General features: G+C 37.1%; 2 annotated features.

The window, feature by feature from the left end:
* Positions 7,655-7,824: an enhancer, noted in NCBI's record as "experimental_69934 CRE fragment used in MPRA reporter constructs". NCBI's record gives its function as "activates a minimal promoter by MPRAs in K562 erythroleukemia cells, with activity observed for both the introgressed and non-introgressed 3:3547473 variant alleles {active_cell/tissue: K562}" and the evidence as "EXISTENCE:reporter gene assay evidence [ECO:0000049][PMID:34662402]".
* Positions 7,931-8,100: an enhancer, noted in NCBI's record as "experimental_69928 CRE fragment used in MPRA reporter constructs". NCBI's record gives its function as "activates a minimal promoter by MPRAs in K562 erythroleukemia cells, with activity observed for the introgressed 3:3547197 variant allele {active_cell/tissue: K562}" and the evidence as "EXISTENCE:reporter gene assay evidence [ECO:0000049][PMID:34662402]".

Here is a 23,062-nt window from a genome sequence, read left to right as displayed (position 1 = left end):
GACTCCCACCTCAACACAAAAACCCTGGGCAGAGTTAGCTCTTTTCCCTTTTTGGTCTCACAGTACTGTGTACTGGATCATAGGTACTCTGGAATTGACTCTGTTCTCCTTTGTCCCCACTTTTATCACTGGATTGAGTGTTCATTAGAGACAGGTCCCCTGCTTTATTTGTCCTGGAGAGCCCAATGCCTAACACAGCTGGCACACAGTAAGTGCTCAGTAACATTATGTTGAATGAATGAATGAATCATCCAGTCAATTCAGTGAATCAACTAGGAATGTTGGCAGTGAAAATATAAAAGGTGAAATTTAAGATTCACTATTTTCCATTCAATAAATATTTATTGAAATTTTCCAGTGTTTTAAATATCTCATACAGGCCTGCTGCCTATCAGTATTTATCATGTTTCTTTTAGCAGCCTCCTAAAAAATTTGAACATTTTGTTAAAAGGAGTTGGGGGTGTGAATCTTGCTAGTAAGGTCCCTTTGATGTCTGTGGCCACAAAAAGAATCCCTGACTCTAACCAGTTATATCATACTTGAATTACAAAAGATGTCTTTGACCTACTTAGTTGAAAGATGCTTTTTCTTCTTCCTTCTTATTCTTTTCTTGTAAACTTGCTTTATTTTTAAATTTCACATTTTAGATACAGGAGATACATTTACATATTTGTTACATGGGAATATTGCGTGATGCTAAGGTTTGGAGTTCAGATCCCATCACCCTGGTAGTTAGCATAACACTCAATAGACAGTTTTTAAACCTACCCCCTCACCCCATCCTCTAGTAGTTTACAGTGTCTATTATTGTCATATTGTCCATGGGTGCTCAGTGTTTAGCTCTTACTTATAAGTGAGAACTTGTGTTATCTGTTTTTTTGTTGTTGTTGTTGTTAATTTGTGTTAGGACTGTGGCCTCCAGCTCTATCCATGTTGCTGCAAAGATCATGATTTTATTCTTTTTTATGGCTACAAAGTATTCCATGGTGTATATGTACATTTTCTTTATCCAGTCTACCATTGATGGGCATCTGGGTTGATTATATGTCTTTGTTGTGAATAGTGCAGTGATGAACAAACAAATGCATGTGGCTTTTTGGTAGAATGATTTGTTTTCTTCATTTAAGAATGATTCATTTTCTTAATTGAGAAATTCGTTTTGAGAGGTTAGGAACGTACTAGAGGGCAGAATAAAAACAAACCAGAGGAATAGGCGAACTCCAATAAGATACATTCCAGCATAGACTTCTGACTGTGAGTCTTTAACACCAACTACCAAATATGGGATGAGGGAGAAATACTGCATCAAAGTGCTAGAGTATATAAAAAAGTTCCATGGTCTCTACTTGACAATGAACTCCAAAGCTGTCATCTGAGTGATGTGGCTACACAAGATGGTCATGCGTTCTTGGATTACTTGGAGATAAGCATGGTTTGTGAAATGAGAAAGAGAAAATATCATTCATTACTGTTCTAGAGAGGGGAAGAGTAGTCCTCACACCAGAGCTGGGCTTCTGAAGTAGATTTTGTGCAAGAGAACTTAAAAATGAAATACAGACCAACAAGAGCGCTTCAGAGAAGTGGGCCAGCAAGACATGAACGTTAAAACTTATTTTAGGAGGAATAATTGAAGGAAGGAAAGATGCTTAAGCTAAGAAAAAGGGAGACTAAGGGGCACATGATGATTGATGAATATGTGGAAGTTAGAGAGGGACAGAAAGTTCCTTCTATAGCAGGAGCCAAATAATATCTCTCTGTGTCCGTGTTAAACAAAAGCTTTCTGCTCTGAGCAATTTCACCAATTTCTTTACAAAAGGGCCCCAGTCTTCTTATGCAAATTGATGTCCTTACACACTAATGACCCATGTGGTATACCATGGAGGATTGTGAGGGGGCCACCTCCATAGCAGGATATAAGGCCCTCTTTATCTAGTTTCACTTTTCAGTTATACTACCGAGGATGAATCTTTTTTTTAAAAAAATGGATCTCTCCAAGGCATGTCACACAGGCAGAAAAATGGAGTTGGGGGAGAGATAGCTTCTGGTACCCCCATTACATGATTACAAAGATTGAATGAATGGTCTTGGAAAGCGATGAGTTTCCACTCCTAGGAAGAATCCTGAAGAGGTTTGGCTGGAACACCTCAGGCATGGTTCAAGCATCAGCATTGGTGAGACCCGGACTCGTAAGATCCCTTTGGTCTACAAAACATGCCAAAGCCTAGCATGAATGAGGCACTGCTCCTGGAAAAACACAGACCATATTCCCTGAATAACATCAGCTCATATGAGAAAAAAATGTCTTTTCCTATTTCTAGAATAGGGAATCATATTTTTACCAGCTTATTGTTTTAATTTTCACCATTCCGTAGGATTAAGGTGACTATTATTTTAATATAGGAGGTGGTATAGTGTAGCAGTTAAAGGATGGAGTGTAATAGCTAGGTGTAAAGTCAGACAAGCCTGGGATTGAATTCTGCCTGCACTAAAGCACATAGCTGTAATAGATTAACATGCCTAAACCTCAGATCCCTCGTCCATAAAATGGGCAATAGCCACCACATGTGGTTGCTGTGAGGATTAAATGAAATAATGCATAATATACACTAAGCAATATACCTACATCCAGCTGGCACTCCATAAAAGCTGCTACTACCATGACTGTAATAGTAATAAGAATACTTTTTAGTAATGTTAATATCACTAAGACTCTTGACTTGCCTCTGTGTCTTTCACTTACTCCGCGTTTCTTCAAGGTCCCCAGCTCAGTGGTTTATTTATTTAATTTAGAGACAGTGCTCTTACATAGGATCCTCCACAGAGAACAAGGCTCGTGCACACGCTCGATGGTGCCAGAAATAAACAAGAAAATGCATTTATCTGTATAGTTTTTGAAATTAAAAATGACATTTATGAGTTCCCTAGTAGAAAAATAAATTTCATCTGTTTTAGTAAGGAAAAGTAGGATAAGAAACTGCTTTTTGGTAGAGGTAAGAGACGTGGGGAACAGGGATTTCAACTTTATTTTTTAATCATAAACGCATACAGTTAGATATTAAACATGACTTTGCAGATGGGAAGTAGGACAAAAAACAAATCTCAGTATTTCTTACTGGATTGCTATGACAATGCATGATCAGCAGCTTCTGTCAACATACCTTAAGACATAAGAATGAGAACTCCCAGCTATAATTAAAAATGTAATATTTAGAGTGCTGGTGTGGGGTACAGGAGGGTTGGATAGCTGCCTAATTTATAAGCTTTCGGGCCGCTAAGCTGAGAATGGGGAATGCAGTCGTCTTGTTTGAAGCTGGTATTCCATTCAAGTAGTAAGCATGACTTCTGGTGATATGCTATCTCCAAGAATCAGCTAATTACTGTTTTCAAACAGAACCCATACGTTATTTGATTAGCAAGCACAATCACTTTCTTGATCACAAGTAGCAATATTCATGCATTTTTGAAAGTACAAGCTTGGAAGTCTTGAATAGCTTGATTTTCTTGTTTTACTATTTTTTTTTACAATGACAGTCGATAACCCAGATGCATCTGTCTTATGCCTTGTCTTACCTCGTCTAATAACTCCCCCTTCTCTCCCCACCCCCTGAGACTGCCTCAAAAGGATATACTGTGCTGTGTTGCTTCCCAAGAGCTTGTCAGAGGGAACAGTTTTGTCATTTGAAGAATGTGTTCACGATGCCGTGACAGATTTGCCAGCATCCTTCCAGCACAGTGCCTTAGATATGATATATTCGGAATACCCTTTCCTTTTCCAGATCCTCCCCCACCACCATCCCTTATTCTAAAATTCTCATTTACCTAGAGGATTACTGAACCTGAAAACTTTGGTGCAGTAAGCGACCTTGGGTGAACATTGAATCCTTTAGTTCACAGCCTTTAAAAAAAATAGAAAACTAAGTTTTATATGGAAATGTCTTGGTACTGCTATATAAGCAGACTGTTTAAGACATTTAAAAATAATCCTGGAGCTAAAAAGAGTCAAACCTTATAAGCAAAAGGCTTCTGAAGACACATCTATTTCTAATAACTTCTATAATTTCTACATTCTCAATTAAAAACATATTACTCTTTGACACTTCTTTGCATTAAACCTATGAATGGAAGTTAAAAAAGATGTCATTTACCATTATAAGAAGGTCAACAATTCACAAATGTCAATGCTTAGTATCAAGTCTCCATTTGAAGATGGAGATCTGTTGCAATGACAGGTTTGTTCAGGCTTTGCTCTTCCCATACCTCCCCTTGATCATGCTATGACCACTTGCCATGTGTGCACAGACCCAGGCTGGGGTCTGTGGACTCAGTCCAGCCCTCTGTGTCCTATATCTATGCTGTGGCTAACAAACAGGCCTTCCATTTCTAGTTGACCGTCTTTATTGAGGAAAGCCTCAGTAAACACAGGAGAAGTTCCACTCTATTGGGAGTAGCTCTAAGTATTGGAATGATTTATCTTATTTTAAACAAAATTCTAGCTCCTTGCAATTTCTTTGGAGTTGTACACAGTACTTGGTTATCTTTTCCACATTAGCATCTACTCCATGATAATCTATCATCAAGGGAGTACTTACCAAGTGATAGGTGAATTTCTATCAAAAGTCTCATTCTAACCATGCCACTACTCTACAAGGTATGTATGTTGATTCCTATGTTGCATAAGGTGATTCTAAGACTGATAGTGTTTAAGTAATGTGCCCAGTATTATCCCTTGAGTAGCTGTGGAGTCAAAATTCAAACCTATGCTTGTATGGATTCTGAGATTGTTCAACTAATGCAGAGTGTTCATCTGAGATCTGTGGTAAACTTAGGGATGCGCAAAAGGGCTTCAGGGATCCACAGAGTCCCTGAAATAGAAACCCAAATTTGGTTTGTATATGGATTTTATGGTAAAAGCAATCACAGCCCTCCCTCATCAGAATTTCAATTAGGTATATAACCTCAACAATATCATATAAAATATTAAATAAGATACACATATTTTACATTTTTCCCTTCTATTTTACTCAGTCATATTACATAAAAATGCTATATCCCTCTTCATGTATGTTAATTAGTTGTGCCTTCCTCATTCTGTATATTTTTTTCCTCTCCTTCTTAAGCCCAAGTGTAGGACTTGTTACCTATTCGTACTATATTTAATTTTGTTAAGTTCAAGCTATTGGGATTCTGATTCTGCTATCTAGTGCTTTTATTACTCATTTTTCTGCTTTGTGTATTCTGTCAATGTATATTATAAAACTAAAAACCAAATTAAAAATGAACAGCTTTCAACGATTTTGGACTATGGGATATTATTGAACTCCAAGAATCCAGAATACAGGTTATAATTCATTCTCTCTCTCTCTCTCTCTCTCTCTTTCTTTCTCTCAGGCTTCTGGCAAAATTATCCTTGAAATAATTTCTTGAAGATTTAAACCTCCATAGGTCTGTTTCATCAAGGGTGATGTGAGTATACCACTACCAGCATCTCCAGGCTGGGCTGAGACAGAAGGGCATCTCAGACAGCCAAACAATTTGAAAGTATCCCAACAAGTTGGTGTTCTTTAAATAGTTGTTTAACATTTATTTAGTAGACACCAAAATAAGTGACTTCTCTATTGATAGGGTATATACATTTTCTGTTCTTTTTTTTTTAACTTGTTTATTAAATTGAATTATTTATTGTTCAGGATTTTTTTTAAAAAAATAACCCATAGCATCAGTCACTCGTAAGCACAAAAAAAACCCAGTAACTTTCATAGGGTAAATGTGTTACATTTTGTTTAAAATATATCTCCAAAATCTAATTTTCTAAATTTCGAGTTGATAAATCATTTTCTACCTTTCACCATTCTTGTTCGCACTTCCATTTTATGATTAAGTTTTTGAAACCAGAACATATATTGGGGGCATATTCCAAGGACTGAAATTTAGATAATGAAATAAATCACTCATTTTTAATTAAAAAAAAAATTTCGCCATTCCTTACTTCTGTTTTAGAACATCAACTGTCAGCTGGCCTGTCTCAAGGCTGCTGGAGCAGCCCGTAATTGCAACATGCAATTCGCAATTATTCTTTCAGAAATAACTCTATAGAGTAAGTTCAGCACCGGGAGAAATGTTTTCCCAATTTTTATTTGAACATGTTGCCTACTTTTGCCAATTAATTTAGTAGTCTCATGTGGAAACTGAATTAACTAGCACTGTATCAGTTCGTTCTCACACTGCTATGAAGAATACTGGAGACTGGGTAATTTATGAAGGAAAGATGTTTAATTGACTCACAGTTCTGCATGGCTGGGGAGTCCTCAGAAAACTTACATTCATGGCGGAAGGCGTCTATTCACAGGGTGGCACAAGAAACGAGTGTCAGCAGGGAAAATGCCAAACGCTTATAAAACCATCAGATCTCGTGAGAACCCGCTCACGATCATAGAACAGCATGGGGAAACCGCGCCTATGATTCAATTACCTCCCACCAGGTCCCTCCCACGACATGTGGGGATTATGGGATTATAATTTAAGATAAGATTTGGGTGGGGACACAGCCAAACCATATCAAGCACCATATTTACACTTTATTTTAGGAATGTTTTAATGTGCTTTATGAACTGATGTGCCAGGCAGTGGTCCAGCTGTCTTTCCCTTAATTTAGCTCTATAGACAAGAATACAGTAAAGATTAAATAAATATAGCTGTCAGACACTCCAGGAAAGTAGTAACTGCAGACAATAACCAGAAAGGAGGAGAACCGGTTTGACTAGACTAATTTGACTAAATCCTTAGTTTCTTTGGAGGGAAGAAACAAATGTGATTCATCACATCCCCGACTTTGGACTGTTTTTCTAATTTAATAGCATTCCAGCGGGAGTTTGGGAGTGGAAGTTTGGGTGTACATTTTGAATAAAATCTTATCAATTTACCCATAAATGATCCTAATACAGTTCCTTTCGGGGAGCTGTTAGACATAAACAGCTTTCTTCCCTCTACGATTTCAGTAATGACAAAGGCCAAACATCAAGACCTCTCTCTGCCATACTTAAGAGTTTAAATATAACCCTGAAAGATTTTAAGTATGACAGGATGTGATTAGGAAAATGACAATGAAGAAATTTTGTTGGAAAAAGAAGGTTCTAAGGGCTGGGAGACCAGCTCCTGGGCCCAGCAATTATCCAGATGAAAACAAGAGGGATTTGAACTAAGACAACAATGCAGATAGAGTTAACCCCTGTAGAAAACTCCTGTGACTTCTCTCAATTAATGTTTCAGCCTGCACACTCATTCCAGTAAGAATCACAGATTAGGACATAAACGGTGAGGATAATAGGAGAAAACTTTAAGTCATGCTTCAATCTGGTAAAAAGACGCACTACTTTTCTGACTGAGGAATGAGGAATAAAAGGATACTTCACTCCAGTTACCTTCCCTAGGAAGTCACCACACTCCTTGATCTGACCCCTATCCCCGGCAATGGCAGCAGAAGCCCATCACCATCATATATCAGCCTCCAAGCCAATAACTGGCCTGCAGAAATAATAACTGTACTCCCATGCACCTGAGCCCACAGGGAGAAAACTCATTTTAATTCTGCCATGGTTTAATGATATTTAAATGGCTCAAATGGTTTTTATAAATGAATATATTACAAGGCTTATGTTCAAGAATCAGCAATAAGCCATAATGGACTTTACAGTTTATTAGTTCCATAAATGTCACCTTGTTATTAACAACACAGGTAAAGCAACTTTACGAAATATTCTATTATCATCCATTGAGTGAAGCATCAAATTTGTTGAGCTGGAGTTTCAGGCATTCTCATTTCACCCTTGTAATTCAACTTTATATTGAGGCTCACAGGTATCACCAACATGATTTTTAAGACCCTTTAAAATTCTATTTTCTTGTAAAGATAAAATTTCTAAATTAAACGTAGAGACTTACTCTTGAGAAAGGTGGCACCACCAGATGGAAGTGTGGAAACTGCATACAGAAGCCAGGTGTGTGTGACCAGCATTTGCTCTTCACAGGTGTCTTTTGGGAGCCACGATTTGCTGCCCCCTTCCAAGAATGTGAAACAGCCACATTCCATTGCATTTCAGTTATTGTAATAAGGCCAAGGGAGAGATTGTGTGTCATCTTGCCATTCTTTGTCTCCTTTTTCAAAATTTGTGAAACCAGGTCATAGTTAGATGAACACTGAATTATCTCCAGCATATGGTGGTTTTGCAAAACCTTAAACATCATATTAGAAAAGTTGTCAGCTTTGGTTAGTGAGAGACCTTACTTTGGGAGACTTATTAATAGACATTTGGAAAGTGAAGGTGTCAAAATTGTCCATACTTTAATTTCAAGAACACACTGAAACTTATGGTAGAGTGATGAAATTCCCTACCGAATGCCCTACTGTCTATATGTTTGTTTGCTTGTTAAGAAGGTAACTCTAGAAACAAATATAGCAGAAACCCATGACTTAGCTTTCTCATGAGCTTTATCTAGCCACTAGTCTTGGAATAAGCATTGGACACATCTGTGTCCAGCATCACGGCCTTTGCCTTCTTCATGGCCCCACTGCCACCCCACTACTTGCCAAGTCAGGCAGTCATTATTCACTCTTTCACTCAACAAAGATATGTTTATAAGTACTAGATCCCAGGCATTGTCTCAGGAACTGGGCTGGGTCTGTGAGTAAGTGAAAGTTCCAGTTCCACAAGGGAGACATATATCTTTAAAAAATTACAAAAATGATTGCAATTGTAATGAGAATTACAAGAAAAAAATTACAGGCTGAGCTACAGTAATAGGGTCCCAAATTGACCAGGGGAGGAAGGGAAGGCTTCCCAAGGAAGTAATTAACTGTTGCTTAAAGGCCAAAAGAAAGTTGGATAAATAAGAGTTGATTTAAAAAGAATCTTCAGTTTTCCACCAGGAAAATAAATGATCCTAATACAAAAGAAAGGAGGGGTCGGGGCATTGATTGACTAAGAGGCAGTACAAGCATGTAAGCAGTAGAAATAGTGTGTGTCAGGTGCCCAGGTGAAGAATTTTGATAGTTAGAGGAATAAGGAAATGTAGAGAAGCCAAGCATAGAGAATAATGCAGGAGGAAGCAGGGGAGCTCAAGATCTAGCCCTTTCCTACTCCTCTTCACTGTTATTAAGGCTAAGAATTTTTTGACCACCTTCATCAGAGCAATGGATAATCATTAAAGAGTTTAAGCAAGGAAGTGACATAATCAGTTTTGCATCTGCCACAAAGAATACCACTTAGATTCCTGCAGGACTGTGAAAATTGCTCTATGGATTGTAGAGCTTCAGAGTAACCTGTAATAAGTTTCTCTTTAGGGCTATTGAATGATTTACTTTCAGCCTGCCATGATTTCTATTGGAAACCAGTTAAGTAGATGGTTAGTTATGCTCATGTCTGTTTAATCAGGCAGTGGTAAATAACCCAGGCATTGCATACATATCCGTAAGGGAGTTTTTCTTTTGTTTGTTTTATTGCCAGTGGAGGTAGGGTAAAGGGTTGGGAACATCTCAGAATGTGGGATGCTGTGTTCATGATACCTATGACCATTTGGTCATTGGCCCACAGCTGTGACAGCAGAGGGACTCTTGGAGAGGAGCCTCTGCCGAAGACCTAGATAAGGGAGTCTGAGCTTTTCTAGGGGTAATTGTTTTGCTTTTGTTGTTTCCCAGGCAGAGACCCCTACCCTCACACTATCTCTTTCTCTGCCTGGTGAGTCTTTGCTCAAACCGGCTGTTTCTCAGATTTTAGCTGAACATTTATCATCAAAGTTACTGAGATTAAAGCTCACTTATAACTCCCAGCCATCAACTGCACCTCCTTGAGGCCATATGTTTGGGCAAGATGCTTGAAGATGAGCCATGTGCTGCAATGGCCACATGCACTGAAGAGCGCCACTGGGGGATTATTGGAATGCAAACTTCTGAACTCAGACGGACTCCTCTGGCCATCTGGTTGCAATTTTAGTGTCTGGGCTCTGAATGTATTTATTCCTATATATTTGAGTTGACTTGAAATAACCCATTTTTTTAAAGGGAGCCAGAAAAATGTCAATGCGTATACTTGGTTTGATTATTTCATCTCTTTAATTCAACTAACTTATAAAAGAATATGACTGTATTCCTATCTCCAGAATATAAATATCAGATTGTTTTTAAGCCTCTCAGAAAAAGATGAAATTTTTGCTTATTATTTATTAAGGCTAATGTAAATCTGTGTGAATAGTCTCGACTCATCCTGATTTTTAAGTTCAATGATGTTTGGCTTAAGTATAAAAAGTTATTTATTTACTAGATTTTATTTTTGTTATTAATATGGACTAGATTGTGTTGGAATATTTTGAGAAAGGGATTTCTTTCTTGGTGTATCCCATAGACCATCTTTTAAAATCTCTTCCTGTCGGCACATATTCTTGGGGATGCAGATGGTTTCGTGAGTTGAAACAGGGTAGGTTTGAAGGTTGAATCTTAAATTGTTCTGCTCTCCACTGTATGCTGGGGAAACCTGGTGAACATGGAAATCAAACCCCTCTGTCTACCCACTTTCCAAAGCCTCTTCTCAGATTCAGCCAAGAATAGATGTTGAGCCCGGCCTGCCTTCCTTTTTATCTCCCGCTCCTCTCCTGACATTTCTGGTGGCCACACATAGAACAAGTAGTGGAGATAGAAGGCAGAGGAGGTGGTGATATAATCTAATACTTTTGAAGAATTACCATGTGCCAGGCGCTGTCCTAAGTACTTTATGTGCATTAAATTAATTTATTTCTCATAAAAACTTAAGAGTTAGTTAGGTACCTCTATTATCCACACTCTACAGATGCGGACGATGAAGAGTTTCCAGGAGGGGATTAAGAAGTCCTTTCACTTATTTCCTGCTTTTCTAACCCCCTTCCCATGAAACTGTCAAGGAGAATTTCCTCCCATGGAACACATATCACAGGAATAAACACAAGCTGAGTTTTCACTGGCCTTCGTGGGAGACAAAGTTTTTGTTCTCACCTCCGTCCCTCCAGGAAGCCTTTCGCAGCTGTCCTGGCAACATTTGTACCCCGTTAGTTAGACAATCTGATTCCGTCCATGTTAGGATTTGTGTTCACTACATTAAATGTTTTTCTCTCCATTGTAAAATTTATTTCAGGTTTATTTTTAATTTATTGTAAAATTATATAAAGATAAAAGATGTTCATAATACCATCCTCAGGTGTGATAAAAAGTAATTCTTTCATTTATACAATTTTTAAGTGGTCATTTATTAAGCAACTTTCCTTGCTAGACCATAAATTTACTTGGTGCACAAATCAGGTAACAGCTGTCCTGGACTGCCCAGGCCTGAGGGGCTTCCTGGGACTCTGGACTTGCAGTGCTAAAACCAATAGTCCTGGGAAAAAGGGGAGGAATTGTGTGCACTCTTTGCAGGAACCAGGTTGGCTTAGGTTTAGTCTTACATCACCACCACTGGCAAACTGCTTGATGTTTAGTAAGTGCCTCATAAATGCTAAATGAATATAATAAATGGGTAGTAGGCTCTGTCCTAGAGCCTAAGGGTAGAAATATTTAAATCCAGCAGAAGGCGTTTTAGATGGAAGGAATAGCATGATTCTGAAGGTGGTTATCCTTAGTATAAGGTTAGGTAAGTACAGAAAAGCCTATGCAGATGGGGAGTTAACAGAGTAAAAGGGAAGCTTATGCTTGGGACATTAGAAAGATGTAGGTGATCTGGATCATGGAGTGTATTAGTCCATTTTCACGCTGCTGATAAAGACATACCCGAGACTGGGAAGAAAAATAGCTTTAATAGACTCACAGTTCCACGTGGCTGGGGAGGACTCACAATCATGGCAGAAGGTGAAAGGCACTTCTTACATGGTAGTGGCAAGAGAGAATGAGGAAGAAGTGAAAGTGGAAACCCGTTATAAAACCATCAGATCTCATGAGACTTATTTACTACCAGGAAAACAGTATGGGGGAAACCGCTCTCATGATTCAATTATCCCCTACTGGGTCCCTCCCACAATATGTGAGAATTATGGGAGTACAATTCAAGATGAGATTTGGGTGAGGACACAGAGCCAAACCATATCATGGAGGTCCTTTTATTTAATAATTAGTTTTTATTTTGTATAACAAGTGGCAACTTGAGAATTTTATGCAGGGGCATAATATGGTCATATGTCCACAAGCCTAGCTTTTGTAGACAGGATGGCTGGTACGATAGGAGAGGGGAGAGAGAAGAATGAACATGATGGAGGGAGGGAACAAGATCAATTGGGAGGCTATTGCAATATTGCAGGCAGAAGATGCTAAGAGCCTTAACTAGGTTAGTAAAGACAATGACGAAGAGAGAAAGGGCCAACGAGAGGAAGGCGTTGGTCTGAGAACCAGGTGGGCGATGAAATTAACTAAACTTGCTCAACTACTGACCATATGGGATAGAATGGAGTGAAGTTTCTGGGGTAACTCCCAGGTTTCTCTCTTGAATGGGTAGGTATATGGTGGCACCATTCACTGAGAAAAAGAATGAGGATGAGGAGAAGGTTTGGAGAGAAGATGAACTTCTGTCCATTTGGAACTGATTGGGTTTGAGCTGACTGTGCCACATTCAGATCAAGATGTTCAATGGGATATATCTGAATCATCAAAGCCTATAAAGCTATGTTCCATACATGAAACATTTTGCTCTGAAATGACAATAGCTATTGATGTTTATTTCCTGATTATAAAAATATATAGCTTTTCAATGAGAAATATTTATAATGTTCTAGAAGTATCAAAATAATAAAATGAACATAACAAAGAATCCTACCTTAATATCAATAAATAATCACTATTAATTTTTTGGTGAACACTATCACAGATTGATTCACCCATCCGTCTCTTCATTCATCCCTCTGCCCACCTCTCTGAGGTGATGGGAAATTTTCTTAACTTCTCTCTGTGCCTAAGTTTCCTCATTCGTCATGGTAATTTGGTATTTACCTATAGAGTGAGTACTAAATGAGTTCATGAATGTGAAGCACTCAGAAAAATGCCTGGCCCATAGGGGGGTGCCATCTAAGTGCTAGCTACTATAATATTCCATCTTTTCAAAATAAATTGGTTATAAATAAACACAGTTTTATAACTTGCTTTGTTATGCTTTCTTGTTATTCAATGCTTACTAACTCTTAGTTAATAAAAATATCTTTCTACCCAATTCCTTAACACTTCAGTCTAGAACTGGTTTTCCCCACCAAAAATCAAAACAAAGCAAAAATGAAAACAGACCACAAATGAAAAACCACCACCACCACAAAACACGTAATTAGATCAGTAACTGAAAATGCTTTTAATTAATCTTCAACCTGTAGGGACAGTGGCAAGAGGCAATTCATTACATATAGACCGTTTTGTGTAGTGATTTATAAAAGAAATAAGCAAAAAGAGTTTAGCGTTTTTTGCCTTTTTCAGTGTCCTTTGCTCATCTGTCTCCACATTAACAATTCTTGTAACCTTTACGGTTTCATCGATCAACGGTCAGGTGAGGTTTCTGCTTCTCATCCTGGCAGCCTCCACATGGCGCCAGTTTTCATTCATCTTCACTGTATGCTGTTAAGACCTAGATTTTGTTTCTGTGACTAAATAGGGGAACTTATGTCTTTAACCCAAACCATTTCTTTTTATTTTTCAAAAAGAAAAAAAAGTCCGAATGAGTGTAATCCTTTATCAGAGGACTTGAAAAATCTGTTTTTCTCAGGTCTGAGAGTAAGGGCAAAGATAATTTTGTCACTGTATTGGAATTCTAACAAATTCTTCTGTCACCCTCTAGAAGGGGCTCCGTTGGAAAGAAAAAGTAGTGTTATGATAACCTTTAGAAAGTCAAGTGATTGAAGTGCAGACATTCTAAGACAAAATAGAACCTCTAAAATATAGGATGTGAGTAAAGCAATTTTTAAATTATGTGGTGAGGAGGGGAAACACATTAGCATTTCTTTTATGCATTAGATGTATCTTTTAGGCATGCTGTTCCTTCTCTTGACTGGGGAATACCTCTTTTACCAAAATTTATATTGATACTTTGCATTTATATAGCATGTTCCATGCCCAGAGCATTTCAGTAGCATTAAGTGTAAATGGCATGCTTAGAAGCTGGGTAACTGAATATTCTGATACCACAGATGGACAAGCACCAGTGCACAGAGCTATATTACCCTGGAGTTCTTAGTCACTGTGAGAAACTAAAATGGGAACTCTGAGTAGTTTTCCATGTTAAAAAAAACAGTTGATCTGCCCTAAAAGTTGAGATTATTTCTGATGGCTCAGCATTTAGTCTTCTGGAAGCAGTAGCCTGAAATTTTCAAGACTTCTACTCTCTGTCCTCATGTTTTGGATGAGGCTGAACCCCTGGCTTTACGGGTGAGAATATGGCCCAAGTGTGGCTACTTGGTGTAGTTGATCTTCCTGATGACTCTACTGAGAAAATCCCAGAAAAATGTTTATAACCATGGTTTGAACTGTTGGAGCTTCTCTTGCCACTGAGGTTGCTGAGAAAATATGCTACGTGTCTGGTGCTGCAGGGCACAAGCAGTGAAGAAAATTCTAAATGAAACCGGTACAGAGGTAAGCAGAGGCAAGAGAAAAAGTGGAAAGTCCTGAGGCTGTTGACTCCTGGATCAAACTATACCTGAAGACAGGACCCTGGAGTTTAGTCACACAAGCCACTAAATTATCTGTATTTCACCTAAAAACTGTGAGTGAGCTGAAAGGATTCTTATATAAAGTTATTAGAATATTTAAAACTTGATCTTTTAGTTTAGAACAGAAAATAATCCTTAATCAAAGCTTTTGTACCCTGATGTGTATTTCAAGTAAGTATCAAAAGTTATTTAAAAGATAAATTCTGTGGAATAAATAACAGAGGAAAAAGAAATAATGAAGTGGAAAATTTCTTATTGTTTTCTGAAAAACACATAAAAAGTCTAAAGTATATTTTTATATTGTTAGATATTTTTTCAGAATTAATTTTGAAAGCTATTTTAATTATGTCGTTTTCAGTGATAGAACATATTAATTGTTCTGATGTCAGAACTGGATCTTCTAATGCTTATTTTATCATAGTTTTTTTTTCATAAGTACCCTTCAGATAGACTGTTATTTTATAAATTAGTGATGTAAGTTCATGTATTGCTTAGTTATAGGCAGGTATTTGGCAGAAATAATCCAAATATCTGTGCTGTAAAGGTCAAAGATGGACAGGGATAAAGAATGAGCTCTGATTGCTTCCATGTGTAAACGCCTCCCTGGATGAAGGTGTTTCTGGGTTGTCTATCAGTGTCTCCCAAGAAACCTAGGAGAGATGGAAAGTTCATGTTTCTCATTCATCCTATAAATTATAAGCCTTCTTAGGATGATAATTGGCCTTGAATAACATGAAAAGTGTAATAAATGTGTTTCCCATCTCAGTCATTGAATGATTTTTATCTTTCCAGTACTTGACTTTCAAACAAGGTTTTATCATTGTCAAGGTAGGCAGAATAGGATGAAAGATCATAACCTTTAGAATAGTAACTGGAAGTGGCGTGGAGTGGATTAGAAGGGAGTTAGAGAGAAGATTTCTCTATAGGTTTACCCGTGGCCAGGCCAGAGGGGTGGTGGTGGCTGCACAGGAAGAGGAGGTGGGGGACTAACACAATTACCACTGTTTGGGTGCTGATTACATACATGCAAGATGTTGACATCTCATTCCAGCCTCATAGCAAATCCATGAGGAATATATAGGTATGGTCCATCCTCTGTATCATTGGGTCCTGCATCCTGTACTCAACCAACTGCAGGTTTGGGGGAAAAAAATTTGCACCTGTACTCAACATGTCCAGGCTTTTTACAAAAATCATTATTCCCTAAACAAGATAGTATAACAACTATTTACATAGCACTTATATTTTATTAGGTATTATAAGTTTTCCAGAAATTAAAGTATACAGAAGAATATGTGTAGTTTGCATGCAAATACTATGTCATTTTATATAAGGGACTTGCGCACCCTTGGATTTTGGTATCCATGGGAGATCCTGGAACCAATCCCCCACAGATACCACAGGATGACTATACTTCATTAACCCTGTTTTACAGGTGAAAAAACTGAGACTTGGCAAGTTTCAGTTCATAACTTTTAGTTCATAGTCGTAAGTAATTTGTGCTCCAGTTCATGCTGTGAGTATGTGGCTGAGCTGGTATCAAATACCTACCTGCCTCCCTGTGTTCTTCTCCCCCCCACTTTTTTTTTCCTCTGAGACTGAGTCTTGCTCTGTTGCCCAGGCTGGAGTCCAGTGGTGCTATCTCAGCTCACTGCAACCTCCACTTCCCATGTTCAAGCGATTCTCCTGCCTCAGCCTCCCGAGTAGCTGAGATTACAGGGGCATGCCACCACTCCTAATTTTTTTTTTTTTTTTTTTTGTATTTTTAGTAGAGACAGGGTTTCACCATGTTGGCCAGGCTAGTCTCAAACTCCTGACCTCAAGTGATCCTCCTGCCTTGGCTTCCCAAAGTGCTGGGATTACATGAGTAAGCCATCACAGCCGTCCGTGCCTGCCTGTGTTCTTAACCATTCTGTGCTACAGCCTGTTATCTGTTCAAGGAAATATAATAGCACCGTCACCACTAAAAGAATGGGGACGGTGGCATTATAAACTAAATAGCTCATTTACCAACCTGAATGAGGAAGAATTAAGAAAACCAGAAATCTGTATATTCTTGTCACAACTGTAGTAATTGATGCTCCCTTTTCATTCAAACCAGATTTCTTGTGCCCCTTTTGAGTCAGCACATCACGGACGGATGAGAGGAGACAGATGGTCATGGGAGCAGGACCTCAGAGCAGACGGCACGCATTCAGGACAGCGATCATTTAGAGGGTCTTTGGCAAATCATTTCAGCTCTGCAAGCCTCGCTGTTTTTATCTGTAAAATGGCTCTTTTTGTTCTAACAATTTGTGCTTTAATATAGTGGTGCTGTAATGAGCATACTGAGTTTTCCTTTTTTTTCTGGATCTTCGAAGATGAGCTTTACTAATTTTATGTCTGATTCAAAGTAGTAATTTAACTGAACCAACTGGTCCTCTGGATCCAGTGTCTGCAGCTGCTGTCTATGCTGATTAGTTACTGCTCAGCTGTACCACTTGTAAATATTTACTGTGTTGTATATAAATATCACTCCTCATCTTTTTTTTTAAAAAAATCCCTTATTTCTGGCCTTTCAGTTATTGCTTTTTATTGTGATAAAATATAAAACCTAAAACTTACCATTTAATTTTTTAAAAGAATTTTATTGTGACAGCAACACTTAACATGAAATCTGTGATTTTAAATTTTAAGTGTACAATACAGTATTGTTGACTATAGGCACAATTTTGCACAGCAGATCTCTAGAAATTATTTACTTTGTTTAACTGAAACTTTTTGCTCATTAATTAACAACTATCTTCTCCCTCACCACCTAGCCCCTGGCAACCTTCATTCAACCCTTTGATTCTGTGAATTTGACTATTTTGAATGCCTCATGTAAGCAGAATCATGGAATATTTGTCTTTCTGTTCCTGGCTTATTTCACTTAGCATAATGTCATCAAGATTCATCCATGGTGTTGTGAATGGCAGAACTTCCTTACTATTTAAGGATGAATAAATTCTGTCATGTGCATATATCACATTTTCTTTAATCACATGTTGAAGGACATTTAGGTTATTTCTGTATCTTGGCTGTTGTGGATAGTGCTGCAGTCAACATGGGAGTGCTGATATCTCTTTAAGATCTTGATTTCCTTTCCTTTGGATACATACTCACAAGTGGGATTGCTGGATCATATGGCAGTTCTATTTTTAAATTTTTGAGGAACCTCCATATTGTTTTCCATAGGAGGTGAAATCATTTTATATTCTCACCAGTAGTGTGCCAAGTGTTGTTGAGGATGTGGAGCAGTTGGAATCATTTTTACCATTGTAAGTGTACAATTCAGTGGCATTAATGAAAAAGATATGAATAGCATCATATTGTACAACCATCATTGCTATTCAAATCTTTTTAATTACTCCAAACAGAAACTCTGTACCCATTAAGTAGTAATTTCCCATTACCCTACCCCCAAAACCTGCTAATATCTACTCTGTTTTCTGTCTCTATGAATTTTCCCAGCATAGGTATTTCATATGAGTGAATTTATACAATATTTGTCCTTTGGTGTCCTTTGGTGTCCTTAGCATAATGTTTTCCAGGCTCATCCTTGTGATAGCGTATATTAGAATTAAATTTCTTTTTAAGAGTGGATGATATACCATTGTGTGTATATACCATATTTTGTTTATCCATTCATCTGTTGATGAACACTTGGGTTGTTTCCCCCTTTCATCTATTACGAATAGTGCCGCTATGACCATGACTGTACATGTATCTGTTTGAGTCCCTGTTTTCAATGATTTGGAGTATATACTTGAGTGAAATAACTGGGTCATATGGTAATTTTATTTTTTATTATTTTGTTTCATTTTTTGAGACAGGGTTTGTCTCTCTTGCCAAGGATGGAGTGCAGTGGCTCCTTGGCTCAGGGCAACACCCGCCTCCCAGGCTCAAGCAAACCTCCCGCCTTAGCCTCCTGAGTAGCTGGGACTAGAGACACGCCACCATGCCTGGCTAATTTTTGTATGTTTTATAAAGAAAGGGTTTTGCTACGTTGCCCAGGCTGGTCTCAAACTCCTGAACTCAAGCAATACGCCCTCCTTGGCCTCCCAAAGTGCTGGGATTACAGGTGTGAGCCACTGTGTCCGGCCTGGAAATTTTAACTTTTTGAGGAACTGCTACATAATTTTCCACAGCAGCTACACAATTCCACGTTCTTACCAGAAATGTACTATGGTTCTAATTTCTTCATATCCTTGCCAACACTTGTTCTCTTTTTTTAATTATAGACATCATAGAAGGTATGGTATCTCATTATGGTTTTGATTTGCATTTCCTTAATGACGAATAATGCTGAGCATCTTTTCAAGTGATTATTGGTAATTTGTGTATCTTCCTTAGGGAAATGTCTACTCAAGTCCTTTGCCCACTTTTTTGTTGATACATAATTTTTATACATGTTTCTGGATACATGTAATACTTGATTATATTCATAGACTATGTAATGATCAAGTCAGGTTATTCACGGTGTCCATCACTTGAGTGTTTATCATTTCTTTCTTGGAAACATTTCAAGTGCTCTCTTCTAGCTAATTTTAAATATGTGATACATTTTTAATTATAGTCTCGCTACTCTGCTATCAAATATTAAGAAGTATTCCTTCTATCTAACTGTATGTTTGTAGCCCTTAACCAACCTTTATTTACCCCCTCCTGCTTACACACATACTCACATATCCTTCTCAATCTCTGGTATTTCTCATTCTATTCTCTACCTCCATGAGATCAACATTTTTTAGCTCCCACATATGAGAAACAACATGGGATGTTTGCCTTTCTGTGCCTGACTGACTTATTTCACTTAACAGTTACATCCGTGTTGCTGCAAATGTCATGATTTCACTTTTTTTTTTTTTTTTGGCTGAATAGTATCCCGTTGTGTGTATATATATATACACACACACACCACATTTTCTTTACCCATTAGCCTGCTGATGGACACTTAGGTTGATTCCATACTTTTGCTGTGTGAATAGTGCTGCATGTGAATAAACATGGGAATGCAGTCATCCCTTTGATAGACTGATTTGTTTTCCTTTGGATAAACAATAGTTGGACTGCTGGATCATATGGTATTTCTATTTTTAGTTTTTTTTTTGATAACTCTCCATACTGGATTCCATGGTGGTTGTACTAATTTCCATTCCCACCAGCAGTGTATAAATTCCCTTTTTTCTGCATCTTCACCAAGATTTGTTATTTTTTGTCATTTTAATATTAGCCATTCTAACTGGGGTAAGATGATATCTAATTGTATACGATTGTTTTGATTTGCATTTTCCTGATGATTAGTGATGGTGAACATTTTTTCATATACCTTTTGTCTATCTGTATGTCTTCTTTTGATAAATGTCTATTATTTCCTTTGCCTACTTTTTAATGGAATTATTTGTTCTTTTACTGTTGAGTTGATAGAGTTCTGTGTATATTCTGGATATTAGTCCCTCATTAGATGATCTGTTTGCAAATATTTTCTCCCATTCAGTGTTTTTTTCTTCAGTGTTTATTGTTCCTTTTGTTGTGCAGAAGCTTTTTAATTTAATATAGTCCTATTTTTCTATCTTTGTTTTTGTTGCCTGTGCTTTTGAGGTATTAGCCATAAAATCTTTGACTAGATGAATGTCCCAAAGTGTTTCCTCTATGTTCTCTTCCAGTAATTGTATAGTTTTAGATTGTACGTTTAAGTCTTTAACTGTCTTGTGTTGATTTTTTAAAATGTAGTGATAGGTAGGAGTCCAGTTTCATTCTTCTGCATATGAATATTCATTTTTCCCAGAACATTTACTGAAGAGGGTATTCTTTCACCAATATATGCTGTTGGTGCCTTTGTAAAAAATCAGTTGATTGTAAATACGTGGCTGTATTTCTGAGTTCTCTATTCTGTTCCATTGGTCTATGTGTCTGTTTTTATGCTAATACCACATTGTTTGGGTTACTACAGACTTGTAATATATTTTGTAGTCAAGTAGTGTGACACCTCCAGCTTTGTTCATTTTGCTCAGGATTGTTTTGGCTCTTCAAGCTGTTTTTTTGGTTCCATATGAATTTTATGATTTTTTCTCTATTTCTATGAAAATGACTTTGTATTTTGTTACGGATTGCATTGACTCTTTGAGACTCAAATTGAATATTTGAGTCTTCATTAGTTTCTTTCATCAGTGTTTTGTAGTTTTCCATGTAGAGGTTTTTCACCTCCTTGGTTAAATTTACTCCTGGGTATTTCATGGTTTTTGTAGCTGTTGTAAATGAGACTGTCTTCTTGATTTTTTTTCTCAGCTAGTTCATTATTGTATAAATGCTATTTTTTGTATGTTGGTTTTGTATTCTGCAACTTTACTGAATCTATTTATCAGATCTAAGAGTTTTTTTGGTAAAGTCTTCAGGTTTTTCTAGATATAAGATCATCTCATCTGCAAAGAGGGACAATTTGAATTCCTCCTTTCCAATTTGGATGCCTTTTATTTCTTTCTCTCACCTTATTGCTCTGGCTAGGACTTCCAGTATTATGTTTAATAGGAGTGGTTGTGTGTCCTAACATATGGTCTATCCTAACATGTTGTCTATTCTGGAGAGTGTTCCATGTGCTGATGAGAAGAATGTGTATTCTGTAGAGGTCGGATGAAATGCTCTTAAATATCTGTAAGGTCCATTTGGTCTAATGTGCATTTTAATGCTTCTTTGTTAATTTTCTGTCTAATGATGGGAGTTGGGTGTTCAAGCTCCCAACTATTATTATATTGGAGTTGATCTCTCCCTTTAGATCCAATAACATATGCTCAATATATGTGGATACTCCAGTATTGTGTTCATATAGATTTAGAATTGTTATATCCTCTTGCTGAATTCATCCCTTTATGATTACATAATGCCTTTCTTTTTTTCTTTTTACTGTTGTTGGCTTAAAGTCTGATTTATCTGAGACAACTATAGGAACTCCTGCTTGCTTTTGGTTTCTATTGGCATGGAATATCTTTTTCCATCCCTTTACTTTCGTTCTATATGTGTCTTTACAGGTGAGATAAGTTTCTTGTAGGTAGCATGTAGTTGGGTCATGTTTTTTTTAATCTATTCAGCCAGTCTATATCTTTTAAGAGGAAAGTTAGATTAATGCATTTATATTTAAGAGATTATTGATATGTGTTTATTTTTGTCATTTTTATTAATTGATTTGGGGGACATATTCTTTGTTCCTTTCTTTCTCTCTTACTGTTTATTGTTTTGGTTTGGTGGTTTTCTGTAGTGGTAACATTTGTGTTCTTTCCCTTCCTTATTTGTATGTTAGCTTTACCAGTGGGTTTTCTATTTTCCTGTGTATTCATTATAGTAGATATAGTTCTTTTGCTTCCAGGTATAGAATTCCATTAAGCATTTCTTGGAGGGCCAGTCTAGTGGTGACAAATTCCCACAGCTTTTGCTTGTCTGAGGAATACTTTATTCCTCCTTAATTTACAGAAGGATAACTTTGCTGGATATAATCTACTGGTTGGCAGGTGTTTTTTTTTTTTTTTTTTCTTTTGACAGTTTAAATATATCACCCTATTCTCTCCTGTGGTTTCTGCTGAAAAATTCACTGCTAGTCTGTGGGACTATCTTTATAAGTGACTAGATGCTTTTCTCTTGCTCTTTTTAGAATTATCTCTTTGTCCTTGACTTTTGGCAGTTTGAGTTTAATGTGTTATGCAGAAGATCTTTTAGCATAGTATCTGTTTGAGATCTCTGAGCTTTCCATATCTAGATGTCTAAATCTGTTGATAGACTTGGGAAGTTTTCAGATACTATTTAATTTGTTTTGTTATCCCTTTCATTTTCTCTTTACCTTCTGGAACACTGAAAATCTGAATATTTGGTCACTTTATGGTGTTCACCTATATCATGTAGGCTTTGTTCATTCTTTTTTATTTTTTCATTATTCTTTTTTTTCTGATGGGATTATTTCAAAAGACCTGTCTTCAAGTTCTGAAACTCTTTCATCTGCTTGATCTATTTTATTGCTGAAGATTTCTAATGTATTGTATAATTAATTGAATATATTCTTTAGTTCCAGAATTTCCATTTAGCTCTTTTATCTCTTGGATAAATTTCTTATTCATATCCTAAACTGTTTTTCTGATTTCTTTGTATGGTTTATCTGAGTTCTCTTATATCTCACTGAGCTTATTTAATATCATGATTTTGAATTGTATATCCAGGATTTCATACATTTCTTTCTTATTGGACTCTTCTACTGGAAAACCATCATGTTCCTTTGAAAGTGTCATATTTATTTTAATTTTTTATGTTTCTTGTGTTCTTATAGTTATATCTGAACATCTGGTATAATTATCACTTCTTCCAAATT

The sequence above is a fragment of the Homo sapiens genome, chromosome 3, assembly GCF_000001405.40.
Source record: "Homo sapiens chromosome 3, GRCh38.p14 Primary Assembly".
Classification (NCBI taxonomy): Eukaryota; Metazoa; Chordata; class Mammalia; order Primates; family Hominidae; genus Homo; species Homo sapiens.
The sequence above is the reverse complement of the archived record's forward strand: the minus strand, read 5'-3'. Positions and strand labels throughout refer to the sequence as shown.